This window comes from Homo sapiens, chromosome 3 (assembly GCF_000001405.40).
Source record: "Homo sapiens chromosome 3, GRCh38.p14 Primary Assembly".
NCBI lineage: Eukaryota > Metazoa > Chordata > Mammalia > Primates > Hominidae > Homo > Homo sapiens.
Genome location: NC_000003.12, coordinates 53,065,713 through 53,078,712, shown reverse-complemented (window position 1 = coordinate 53,078,712; position 13,000 = coordinate 53,065,713). Strand labels below are relative to the sequence as shown.

The 13,000-nt window shown below is 52.5% G+C and overlaps 1 protein-coding gene across 3 annotated transcripts in view, besides 3 other annotated features; it reads left to right on the top strand.

Moving 5' to 3' along the window:
- The window catches only part of RFT1 (RFT1 glycolipid translocator homolog), a 63,583-nt gene extending 51,723 nt beyond the window's left edge, over nucleotides 1-11,860 (top strand). The window contains exons 12-14 of one of the 3 annotated variants that reach the window (XR_007095765.1): nucleotides 885-1,025; nucleotides 3,344-3,533; nucleotides 5,565-11,860. Coding sequence is in view for 2 of the 3 variants with exons in the window: in XM_011534214.3 (XP_011532516.1) it covers nucleotides 885-1,025; nucleotides 3,344-3,428 (226 nt within the window). In the remaining variant the exon portion in view is untranslated. Of the gene's footprint in view, nucleotides 1-884; nucleotides 1,026-3,343 lie in introns of all 3 variants that reach the window. The other 2 variants (XM_011534215.4, XM_011534214.3) reach the window with 2 other exon arrangements.
- Nucleotides 5,163-5,780: an enhancer, noted in NCBI's record as "H3K4me1 hESC enhancer chr3:53106949-53107566 (GRCh37/hg19 assembly coordinates)". NCBI's record gives its function as "activates a minimal SCP1, AML or CMV promoter by ChIP-STARR-seq in primed H9 embryonic stem cells {active_cell/tissue: H9 hESC(primed)}" and the evidence as "EXISTENCE:reporter gene assay evidence [ECO:0000049][PMID:30033119]".
- Nucleotides 5,551-5,670: an enhancer, noted in NCBI's record as "active region_19951". NCBI's record gives its function as "activates an Ori minimal core promoter by ATAC-STARR-seq in GM12878 lymphoblastoid cells {active_cell/tissue: GM12878}" and the evidence as "EXISTENCE:reporter gene assay evidence [ECO:0000049][PMID:35858748]".
- Nucleotides 6,021-6,070: an enhancer, noted in NCBI's record as "active region_19950". NCBI's record gives its function as "activates an Ori minimal core promoter by ATAC-STARR-seq in GM12878 lymphoblastoid cells {active_cell/tissue: GM12878}" and the evidence as "EXISTENCE:reporter gene assay evidence [ECO:0000049][PMID:35858748]".
- Nucleotides 11,861-13,000: the final 1,140 nt, after the last annotated feature.

The following is a 13,000-nucleotide window of genomic DNA, read 5'->3' as shown; positions in this document are numbered from 1 at the left end:
TGGAGTGCAGTGATGCAATCATAGCTTACTGCAGCCTCAATCTCCAGGGCTCAAGTGATCCTCTAGCCTCAGCCTCTGGAGTAGCTGGGACCACAGGCATGAGCCACCATACCCGACTAATTTTTTAAAAATTATTAGTAGAGATGGGGTCTCACTATGTTGCCCAGGCTAGTCTCACACTCTTGATCCTCCCACCTCGACCTCCTAAAGTACTGGGATTACAGGCGTGAGCCACTGTGCCTGGCCAAGTTTAAAATATTCTATACCATGTGTTATTTTTCCTGATAAGTGATTTTATCTCCTGATATTATGTATTTTATGTATTTCTTGCTATTTAATTACAAATTATCCTGAGGGCAACCAGTGCCCTGCAGAAAGTCACAGAAACACTGGGTCCATGTCCTGCCCGAGGCCAGTCCTGACTTTGCCCGTGGTACGCACCTGTGCCGTGCTCACACTGTCCTGCACAGCATCCTTTTTTACTATAATATGCCATTGCAGGTTATTCCCAGCACTTTCTATGTTGTAAACTGTTAAGTGAATATCCTGACACAGAGTCCTCCAAGAGCCTGGTCTCCTTCTCCATTTTGCCTGCTGATGAACCCTGAGAGTGAACTTCACCGCCTCTCAGCCCCAGCCTCGCCCCTAAGAGAGCCTAGGATGGAAGGGAGCCTGCCCAGGTCATATTGAGTTGATGACCAGCCAGCCTGGAGCCTGAGACTCAGGACCTGTAGGTCAGTGGGCCAAACCGTTCAGATCGCCTGGGTTCCACATCTGAAAAGGGCTTTGCATGATGCCAGCCTCCCAGTCAATGGTCTGTATTAATTGTGACATCGTGGCAACCTGTCACTTGGTCATTCAGCTGACAGTCTTTCCTCCTGCAGAGGCCAAGAAAACCATGGAGGAGCAGTGGACCTTGGTGTCCCTGCTGAGCACAAGCCAGCAACAAGGACCTGTCCCCCCAGGCTCCACGGCATCCTCAGCCACAGACAAGCTCAGCCGCTGGGAGTGTGCACCTGTCACAAGTAATTGCTTCCCAAGAAGCAATTCCTCTGGGTGTCAGTAAAGTCACTGATGCCCCAGCCCTCCCCTCAGAGAATCTGATTAACCAGCCTAGCTGGATGGGAAGCTAGGGAACAAAAGCCACCCAGTAAACAGAAGCGGAACAGCCGAGGAAGGGGCTCTGCCAACTGCTCTGGCTCCTTCTGTGGGCGACAGGGCCTCTGTGGGCTAGTGGCTTTGGAAGGGGTTTGCTCAAGGGCCTTGTTTCCCTGCCCACAGGCATGGGGTGCAGCCCCTTATGCTGGAGGCTCATCTTTGTAGCATGCATTGGTGCTTGGGGAAGGTCTTTGAGCTGCCTGGTCCAAGGGTGGATTCTAAGGTTTTGACAAGATCACTCCACGCTCATGCCTGCTGTGGGCTCTGGCACAGACAGACCCTAGTGTAGGTTCCAGCTCTGCTGTGTCCTTTACACCATGATCTTGGGCAGTTTACTAAACCTCTCAAGCCTCAGTGTTTAAGAGGTTTTATATTAATCCTACCTGCTTTTATATTTAATTTCTCTTTTGATCAAAACAATACACGTATGGTACATAGTTTTAAAGGTTGAACAATACTGCAAGGCTGGAAATACTAATTCCCCTCTTCTTGACCCATAGTTTTAAGGTTGAGCAATACTGCAAGGCTGGAAATACTGATTCCCCTCTTCTTGACCCATTGCTTTCAGTTCTTTTGACTCTTTCACTCTTTTTTTTTTTTTTTGAGATGAGGTCTCCCTCTGTTGCCCAGGCTGAGCTGGAGAGCAGTGGCACAATCACAGCTCACTGCAGCCTCAAACTCCTGGGGTCAAGCAATCCTCCCACTTCAGCCTCCCGAGTCGCTGGGACTACAAGTGTGTGCTACCATGCCTAATTTTAAAATGATTTGTAGAGATGGGGTCACACTATGTTGCCCAGGCTGGTCTTGAACTCCTGGCCTCAAGCGATCCTCCTGCCTTGGCCCAAATTGTTGGGATTACAAGCATGAGCCACTGCACCCTGCCTCTTTCACCTTTAGAACATTGATTTCCTACTATGGAAAATGAGCTGATAGCCACCTCTCCATACATTTCCTCCCCATCCTTCAAATGCTATGATTTGGCGTAAGTTGATATTCAGTGTTTACATGTTTAACGCTACGCAAACATTGTTTTCTGCTAAACCAAGTAGTATTCTATTTCCTTTCTGCTATGATTCTTTGTTTTTCCTCAAGCTATAATTATCTGTCTTTTTTATTTGCTTTTTTATATTTGTACTTTATATTCTTCCCTACAAAATCATACAAATCTGACCAAATACACCCAGCAGGTGTGCTTTCCCTGGAGACATTGCTCCAGGAACCCCTCACTACTTATTCCACTCTTACCAACCTATCCGTTTGCCCCTGCCTCCCTTCCCCAGAGGGAAGACATTGAGGCTCAGAGAGGTAGTAAGATCCGGGTGGAAATGCAGGCCTAGATAAGGAGGTACAGTTATGCTCAAGGGCCAACCGCCTGCCCAGGATGCTGCAGCCCAGTGGGGCGGCAGCCACACAAATGGGACCACTTTGTGGGTTTAACATCTGCAGTGTGGGGCAGGGGCCTCAGGCCCTGAGTGTAGAGGACAGAGGCAGGTCTCCCTGTCCATCCTGGGTGACCATTCCTGGTAAGATGCCCCATGCTGATTTCCATCCCCCACCCAGGCAGATCGGAGAAAGAGCCAGCCCCACTTTTCTCTGATCACCCCATGTTAACTTCCCCTTAAACTTGCTAAACCAGCCCTACCCAACTGCCAAGCTGAGGTTGCCTCCCAGGGCCACCAGCACCCTGCTCATCACAGATGGGGCCACTTTTACTACTTCCCTGTGTCTCGTCTCCCCCATCTCGGGGCTGAGCTCTGAGCCTGCTCCCAGCCAGCTTTGTGCTGCAGGTGACTCTTCATTGCTGGTCAGAGGAGGCTAAGGTCAGCCCTAGGGAATGCATGAAGGTTAAGATGATGCTGGGGGCCCCTGGCCAGCAACTCCCAGTCTTGGTGGCCCAAGTCCTTAAGGGCAGCACACATTCCTGAAGGGGACAGAGAGAGCCTCCTGAGTCAAGAGCTCTTACCCAGACACCACATGCCTCACGATGGAGAGGACTATGCATTGTCGGAGGCTCCTGGTGACTGCCATCCAGCTCACAGGGCCCACTCACCACAGAGGCTGCCCATGAGAATGTCATCCATGTGTTCCTGCATGCCAGAGGCTGTACCTCAAGGAGGCTGTGCCATTGGGCCAGGACTACCCCAGGCATAGGGAGAGGGTACAGGCCGCATATCCTCTCCCTCAGCCATCAAGAGACAAGGGATGGGTGTCAGAGGTGTCTGGGAGATGAAAGATGCATGGAGCACTCCAAATGGCCGCATGCTTTCTAAACACACAACTCACCAGGATTTCATCTGCAACTCAGATTCAATCGGCTAAGTGGGGAAGAAGAAAGTATGTGGTTGTCATGGCAACACCAAATTGCCCAGGACCAGGTTGGTCTCTAAGCAGGGGAAGGGAAGGGAGTGGAGCTGAGCCTCTGTCTCTGTGGTGGGGATGTTCTGGAGAACGGGGCCCAAGGGTCAGGCCCGACATACACCTGTGGGGCAAGGGGCCTTGTTCTCACTACCCCTGCTCAGGGCTGAGGGCCTGAGCCATGCAGTATTATATAAAGGGTTGACTCGGGGCCCTCACTCTGGGGCTGGGGCCCAGACTACTCCAGCATGCAAGTTCCAGAGCCAGCCTCTTGCTAAGGGCCAGTCCCTGCTTCTCCCCACGGGCTAGACCCACCCCAGAGCAGCTCAGATTTGGTGCCTGCTTCTCTTCTTGCCCCCTAGTCCTAGCTGTTCCTGGCAGAGCTTCTGTCTTGAGCTTGGCCATGGATGTGGACACAGCCTGGCACATACCCTGAGTGCGGTCTAAAGGATCAAGGGACACAAAGCCTCACCCAGAGAGTGCCAAGCAAAGCTGATACTTCTATTCATACGCATGCAGTGCTCAGCCTGGCCTCCTTCTTCCCACCAAGAATGAAGTGGAGCCAGCAGAGGGGTTGCCCTGCAATGTGGTCTCTGCCAACCTGGGCCCAGGCCTAGCTGGATAGGTGGTAGGAGAGAGGGCTGCTCAAGTAGGAAGGAGGTGAGCATCAGGACCCTCCCCTCCCCTGGACCTGCCTTAGCCCTGTTTTGATTCTGACCATCCAGTGCTCTGGGGACCCTGGAAAAGGTCCTGGCTCCAAGGTCCACCTGACCAGCCAAGCCTGGCACATCCATCTCTGTGGTCCCAGGATCTGGCCACAGGAGGGCTCCTGGACACGTAATACATGAATAGATGGAGTGACATAAAGAATTAATCAGTGGGTGACTTAGGCAGTGAGAACTAGGAGCAGAAGAAATGAAAGAGACCAGGTTGGGAGGGGGGATGCTGGTAGGGCCAGGTTTAGGGGAGCCTTAAATGCCAGGCTGAGAGGGGGTGTTTGTCAGGCTCCCCCACACCCAGCTTCTGCCCTGGCCCTGGGACAATTTCCGTCTTCCAGAGGGGCCAGTAGGGATCCTGGCAGATGTGGCCCTGATCACCTGATCCCCTCTCAGAGAGACAGAGACCCCAGGGCCCATCCCCCAGAGCCTGGCTCACCTGGGCCCTCGCAGGGCCTGCCTCACCGGGGCCCCGCAGACCTAACTGCTTCTGCTTCATGGTCTGTGGGTTTTCCCAGTCGTCCAATTAGTGCTAATTGGAAGCAGGAAGTGTGTGCATGTGTGGGGTGGGCCTGGAACTCCGATGTCCTTGTCAGAACTTCGAAGCCCTGTGCTTCCTGGGACAGGCTCTTCCCTAGAGCTTTGTGGTCTCCCGCAGGGCTGGGTAGGGTTGTTGGGAGCTCCCCGAGCATTGGGTATACTGGCTCTGTGCACAACGGGGCCTCTGCTCTCCAGAGGGCTCAGGCTCTCACCGGCCACCTCTTACCCCAGGTGCCAGTTGCCCCCAGGGCAAGGCAAGCTCATCCTTTTCACTGCCAAATCCTCTTCGCCCGGCACAGAGCTGCGGCTCTTCACAGTTTCACTCTAACAACGAAGGGAATGATGGGCTCAGGGCCTGGAAGAGAGGCGCAGAGGGGGCCTCCTGAACCCCTCACTGACCCTTGGTCCAGCCTCAGCCCGTGGCTCCATAAAGGCAAGGAAAGGCCTGCTTTATCTGACTGGCCACACACTTGTGCTTCCCTTGGGGGACAAAGGGTGCAGAGGCGCTTCCACAGAGGCGGGACTTCCGCTTACTTTCCCTCCTCCCCGTTTCCCCGCCCCCTCCACTTGCGGCACAGGTGGGGGTGTCCAGAGGCAAAGCCCCTTTTGTGTCAAGCCCCAGCCCAGGTTCTCTCCTCACCCACAGATGCTGGTGCGCAGTCTGACGGCAGAGGCTGTAACGGGGGAAGCATGGGATGTGGGCACATGGGGGAAGGCCCCGGAACCCAGCCTGGGCAGAGGCCGGTGCCCCACCAGGCTCTCTCTCTGCAGTGTTATGTCAATCATTGCCCACAGGTGCCCTCGACCTGGACACCGTCAGGCCTCCTTCGCGGTGGGCTGAAACCCTGTGGCACAGCCCAGGACCACCCAGCCCCACGGGCTGGGGGCTCACATCTGGAAGCAGGGCCCCCCAGGACTCAAAGGTGCTCGGAGATGAAGATTGCTGGGTGTCAGCTCATGGGGCCAGCCTCGGCTTCACCCCCAGGAAATGCCTGCTTGTTGCTGTGCGGCAGGCACTAGAGCAGGCAGAGAGGGCGGTGGGCTCCTCTGAGGTCGCGGGCGGAGCCCTGTGAGGAGAGACCTGGCCGCCGGCAGCCACTAGAGGGCAGGACCCTCCTGTGTGTTTCCTCCAAAGGGTTGTTGAGCAGATGAGCGGGACTGACAGGAAACAATGGAGCAGCCGCCCCAGGGTGCAGTCACCACAAGCCTGCTAGAAGGGCTCAGCGGAGGCTGCGATGCGTCCGAAAGTCCACTGGACCCTAGACCTTAAATGGCCTCCCTGAGCCTTTAGGCTTTTACTTCCTGGGAGCCCAGCCCTGAGCCAACAGAGACAGTGCCTGGCTCCTACATTGGCAGAGAGTGACAAGTCAGTGTCCCCTTCTTACAACATCAGTGGTAGAGGAGCAATTAGGAGAGCAGGTCCTCCAGCTTCTTCCAGGTGCAGTGTGGAAACAGAGGCAGAGAAGAACTCACCTGACCGCACCTACGAGGTGGGTAGGGACAGATACTTCTGAGAGTGAACCATCAGCCAAGCACGCCCAGCAGCCCTGGGGGGTCAGTGCATGTTGTCGGGTGCTACTTTTGCAGTTGGGGAAACTGAGGGTCAAGAGAGGCTGTCATTTGACTGAAGTCCTACAGCAAGGGTGGACCAGGGTTCCCGCCCGGGCAGGATGATGCTGAGCCTGCATGCAGGCTCCCACGCAGCCTTATCACAGCCTCATGTAGAGACGACCTCCTGTGACCTCGCTGACATGAGTGTGAGTGTGTGGGGACCCTGGCTGCCGCAGCAGGAATGAGGCAGCCTCTCTGCATCCTGACACTCCCAGGCAGAGGCCTGTCCTTCATCTGGACCTACCAACAGTGACGCCAGGAGCAGCTGCCTCTAGGACACGTGTTCCCCTGGGCCAGAGGAACTATGTGAGGAACCCATGGTGCATGCCATGACAACCCTCCTTTAGGGCCTCTTGAGGCCACAGTGGTGCTAAACCCAGGAAGTGGGTGCCAATTCAGGGGACCATTGGCAGCCCTGCTGCCCCTCACTGGGCTGTGCCTGCAGTCACGGGAGGCAAGGACCTGCTTTTGAGTCTTTGGCTTCACCTTGTTCTTACAGCCAGACTTGGGGCTCTCTACCTGGGGCTGGGGATAGGTAGTTCTCAGCCTGGGCAGCCCCAGGAGCTGCTAAGTGTCATATCCCTGGGGAAGGCCTGAGCAGTTTGAGGCTGATTTTGGTTGTCCCAATACTGCTGGGAACCACTGGGGAATGAGAGTGTCTTGGGGACCTATTCCTGGAGCCTGAGTCTAAGCTGAGCTGTGGCTCATAAGACTAAATTGCATGGAGACCCAACATGGCTGCTGGGCCCGTCAAGGGCTGGTGTCTGCTCTGGGAGGTAGCCCCATGGCTGGATCTTTCTCTATGTCCCAGGTCGGCCCCTGTGACCTGGGGCCAGTGTGCTGAAACCTGTGAGGATCAGGCATAGCGAGGAGGGTGGCCCCATAGGTAGGCCCATACAAGGGACTTGGGCAGAGTCCTGTCCTCCAGCTAAGTATCTGGGGCACCAACCTCACAGACTGCAGAGTTCACTCTCATTAGCGCAGGGGTCCTCTCAACAGCTTCAGTGACCATAGGGATCGGTGTACCCATTTCACAGATGGGGACACGCCGGCTCAGGTCTTACCACCCTTTGCCAACAGCTTCTTCACTGGTCTCCTTAGCTTCCGTTTTCCCTTTTCCTTCCTTGTTTTAAGCTTTCAAAAAAAATTTTTAGGCTGGGTGTAGTGTCTCCTGCCTGTAATCCCAGCACTTTGGGTGGATTGCTTGAGCCTAGGGGTTTGAGACCAGCCTGGGCAACTTAGTGAGACCCCACCTCTACAAAAAATTCCAGAATTTTCTTTCTTTACTAATTTAAACATTTTGGCTGGGCTTGGTGGCTCATGCCTGTAATCCCAGCACTTTGGGAGGCCAAAGTGGGCGGATCATCTGAATCAGGAGTTCTAGACCAGCCTGGCCAACATGGTGAAACCCTGTCTCTACTAAAAATACAAATTAGCCAGGCGTGGTGGCATGTGCCTGTAATCCCAGCTCCTTGGAAGGCTGAGCCGGGCTGGTCTTGAATTCCTAACCTCAGGTGATCTGCCCACCTCAGCCTCCCAAAGTGCTGGGATTACAGGTGTGAGCCACCGCACCTGGCCAAAAAAAAACTTTTAAAATTATTTAGTGGCTTATTATATAAGAAATACATGAATGCATTTTTACTTTAAAAACATAATACACCCAGCAGTTTGGGAGGCTGAGGCAGGTGGATCACCTGAGGTCAGGAGTTCGAGACCAGCCTGGCCAACATGGTGGAACCTTGTCTCTAACTAAAAATACAAAAATTAGCTGGGTGTGGTGGCGGATGCCTGTAATCCCAGCTACTCGGGAAGCTGAGGCAGGAGAATTGCTTGAACTCGGGAGGCGGAGGTTGCGATAAGCTGAGATCGTGCCACTGCACTTCAGCCTGGGCGACAGAGTGAGACTCCGTCTCAAAAAAAAAAAAAAAAAAAAAAAAAACCATAATACAGGGCTGGTCATGGTGGCTCACACTTGTAATCCCAGCATACTTCTGGGCTCAGGCAATCCTCCCACCTTGACCTCCCAAAGTGCTGGGATTACAGGCGTCAGCCACCGCACCCAGCCTGTTTTGATTTTTTTCAAGAGACGAGGTCTCACTATGTTGTCCACACTGGTCTTGAACTCCTGGGCTCAAGCTATCCTCCTGCTTGTGCTTCCCAGAGTTTTAGATTTTCAGGCATGAGCTATCACACCCAGACTTATTTTCTCCTTTATCCCCAACCACTGCAGTTAGGTTTGGGTTGGGATGGGGGCAGGTGGGAGATGGGGGAAGCCAACCTCCAAGCAGGGCAGGAAACATCTAGCCAGCCCCATCTTCCTGAATCCACAGCTAGGGTGCCTCCCAGAGAGCCTGCTCTGCTGCAGGGCACAGTGGGGAGTAGTCTGTCTCCATAGACACACAGCATCCCAAAGCCAAACATTTCCCTCCTCAGTCCTTGTAATTGCCACTAGGCTGTGCATATATGGGAAACCCACAGGGTTTACCTCATCCCCTATTGCTGGACATCCAGGCTGTTTTCAGCGGTGCTGTTACAGCTCACTGCAGTGGCCGCCACAGTGCAGGTCTCTGCCAGGCTCTCTACGGGGAGGCGCTGGGAAGTAGAATTGCTGAGCTGGGGGGCAGGGGCTAAGTCACCCTCCAAAAAGCCTGTGCCCACCCCCAGCATAGGCACTTGTTGTACTAACACTTTGCTAAAACCTCTCTCTTCAATGGGAATTTGTCTCATTGCTTATGAGTTTGCTTATCTTTTCTTACTGAGTGATCATTTTTATTTCCTTTTTTTTCTTTTTCCCCCTCACCTCTCTGAATTTTATTTATTTCCTTTTACCATGAAGAATCTGCTTATATCCTTTCCCCATTTTTCCACTATGGTTTTTATCTTTTCCTTATTCATTTGTAGATCTTTATACAGATGCTCTTCAACCTGCTGTGGAGTTTCATCCCAATAAACCCTTTACAAGTTAAAAATACTGTAAAATGAAAATGTATTTAATATGCCTAACCTACTGAACATCATAGCTTAGCCCAGCCTGCCTTAAACATGCCCACAACACTGACATTAGCCTACAGTTGGTCAAAGTCACCTAACACAGTCTGGGCACAGTGGCTCACACCTATAATCCCAGCACTTTGGGAGGCTGAGGAGGGCGGAGCACTTGAGGTCAGAAGTTCGAGACCAGTCTCGCCAACATGGTGAAACCCCGTTTCTACTAAAAATACAAAAATTAGCCACGCGTAGTGGCACATGCCTGTAGTCCCAGCTACTCAGGAAGCTGAGGCAGGAGAATCGCATGAACCTGGGAGGCGGAGGTTGCAATGAGCTGAGATTGTGCCATTGCACTCCAGCCTGGGCAACAAAAGTGAAACTCCATCTCAAAAACAAAAACAAACAACAAAATGTCACCGAACACAAAGCCTGTTTTATAATAAAGTGTTGAATATCTCATGTAATTATCAAATATTGTGCTCAAAGTGAAAACCAGAATGGTCGTATGGATACTTGAAGTATGATTTCTACTAAATGTGTATGACTTTTGCACCATTGTAAAGTAAAAAAAAATCCCAAGTTGAGCCATATAAGTCAGGGACCATCTGTACATTCTGGATTTAAATCCTTTGTTGTATTTTCTCGCTTCCCTTTGCCCCACCTGGAGAGGTTGACTCTAGAGGGAGTGCAGGGGACAGGGCCAGGACCAGGCTTTCTGCCTGGCTGCAGCTCTTGGATGTTATGTTGGAAAATGTCTAACCCTGGCTAGGTGGAGACACAATGGCCAGGTGACTTTTCTGAAAGCCTCTGTTCTGTCACCTGTAAAGTGGACAGAATACTGCCTACCTTGCAGGGTTGTGGTGAGGATTAAAGGAACCCACCCATGGACAGGTCATCTGATGAGTGCCACACACATGTGAGGTGGACAGCTGCTGGGCAGGAGGCACCGTGTCGAGTAGGTGCCCAATAAACGGTGACTGTGGTCTCTGTGCCCAGTGAGTGTATGTGGGTACCTTGGTGGGGGGGGTCTCTCCTGCAGAGCCAGTGCTCAGAAGTTTAGCATGGATGGGGGGCAGTCTGAGACAGGGCTGGTGCTTGGAGGAAGGGAGAAGTGGATGGGCTGAGCTTAGGGAGAAGACACCACAAGGTTGGCTCATATTGGGTGCAGTTGTGAGGGTCTACTAAGGTCAAGCCCTGTCCCCTCCTGCATCAGGATCCCCAAAGGAAAGTGTTGGGCTGACTTCCTCCAGCCAGGTTGGCTACAGCTGACCCTCTGGTCCCACTCCTGCCAGGCAGTCCTGGGGCCTCAGAAAAGCCCTTTGGAGGTGACATGTGGTCCAGCCCACTTGAGGGCATGACTTGGCCTTGGCTGTAATCTGCTGAAACTAAATAGGAGGTATATTTATGAGTTGCCATAAAAGGCACTGACATACTGGTGATAAAAGCCACCAAAATCGCCCTGCTGTAAACTGCCATTTACATGTTTATGACCTTATTCCCCAGCCAGTGGGTTAGATATTCCCATTATCACTGACCAGGAGGCTCAATTCTCAGCCAGGGGCCTGCAGGGTGAGTTGAAAAAAGGAAGCACTAATATGCAGGCCCAGGGCCACTGCCTGCTCCTCCTTGCAGCTGCTCCCTCCCAAGAGACTCCTCCTATCGAGCATACCCTGGAGGCTTATTCTCTTACTGAGGAGTAACTTACATTCGGTACACTACAGCAATCATGAATGCATAATACAGCTCAATGAATTTTACATAGGTGCACACCTGTGTAACCGTGACCCCGAGCAAACTTCCTCACCCTAGGAGATTCCCTTGTGCCCCTTCCCCGCCAATGTCCCCTAGCCCAGAAGTAACCACCGTTCTCACCTCCATCATCAGAGATCAGTTTTGCTGGCCTAGAATTTCACCCAAATGTCGTCATACATGTGTTTTCTTCTGTGTGTGGCCTCCTTTCATCAATACAATGTTTTTTATTTTTGTATATTTTTTGAGACAGGGTCTTGCTCTGTTCTCCTTCCGTAGTGCAGTGGGGCGCCATCACGGCTCGCTGCAGCCTCCAACTCCCAGGCTCAAGTGATTCTCCCACCTCAGCCTCCCAAGTTGTAGCTGGGACTACAGACATGCTCCACCGTGCCCGGCTGATTTTTTCTATTTTTTTGTTTGTTTGTTTGTTTTTAGAGACAGGGTTTCACTATGTTACCCAGGCTGGTCTCTAACTCCTAGGCTCAAGCGCTCCGCCCGCCTCGGCCTCCCAAAGTGCTGGGATTACAGGCGTGAGCCACTGCGCCCAGCCAATATAATGTTTTCCAGATTCCTCCACGCTGCCCTGTGTAACAGTTGTTCTTTCTTTTTTATCGTTGAGTAGTTGTCTCCATTGTATGGATGGATAGGCCACACTGGTTTATTTATTCTCCTATTGATGGATATTTGGGTTGTTTCCAGTTTTTGGCTACTATGAATAAAGATGCTATGAATAATCCTGTGCACGTTTGTGTGAGAATGTGTTTTTATATCTGTTGGGTAAATCTTCAGAATGCAGTAGCTGCCTCAGAAGGTAAGAGCGTATGATGTCATAAGAAACTGCCAACGGCAATGGATGAGCATTCCAGTTGCTCCTCTTCTTTTGAGGTTTCTCTGCCCCAGACCCTCAGTTTCCTTAAAGAGCCCACCCATCATCCCATCTGGAGGTGGGCCTGGCTGTAGGGGATGGCAGGCATCCTCCAGGAACCCAAAATCTTGCTGCAAGGGAGGGATCTGGCTGATGTGTGCAGGTGCCAGTTACACCCTCAGGGAGCTAGCATGGGAGAAGAGAATTCCATTTGGTAAGCACCAGTTAAGAGTCAGGCACCACAGTAAGGCTATTATTTGTATGCCCTATTTAATCCTCTAGGTGCTGGAGTCTTGCCAGCGATGGCAGACAAAACATTTAGTGCCTGCAGACTGCCCTGCCTCCACCTGCCAAGGCTGCCCATCCCCAGCAGCCCCTCCCTGGCCATCATATTAGATCTATCACATGACCCAGCACAAAGGCACTGAGAAGGTCTGTAGAGCTTCTCTCCATCACCCCACTGCCCAGAGCAAGGCCCAGGGAGAGAAGAGACTTTGGTCCCATGGTTATAAGCAGAGCTGGGAAACAACTCCACTTTTCTGCTCCCAGCTCAGGAGAGAAAATCAGGCCTCCTCTCTTAGAGACAGGCCTTTCCTATGCTCCCTTCTCATCAAATCAACCTTAGGGAGGGCTTCACTCGGCTGGGAGCACTGCTAGGGGGGTGTGTGTCACAGTCCTGCCTAGTGGTAGCAGCCAGCCCAGCCAGGGCAGGCACACAGCAGGCATCAGTGAAAGGAAGGAAGAGGCCGGGCGCAGTGGCTCACGCTTATAATCCCAGCACTTTGGGAGGCCAAGGTGGGTCAGATCACTTGAGGTCAGGAGTTTGAGACCAGCCTGGCCAACACGGCGAAACTTCATCTCTACTAAAAATACAAAAAATTAGCTGGGCATGGTGGCATGCATCTGGAGTCCCATCTACTCGGGAGGCTGAGGGAGGAGAATCGCTTGAACCTGGGAGGCAGAGGTTCTAGTGAGCCAAGATCACGCCATTGCACTCCAGCCTGGGCTACAGAGCAAG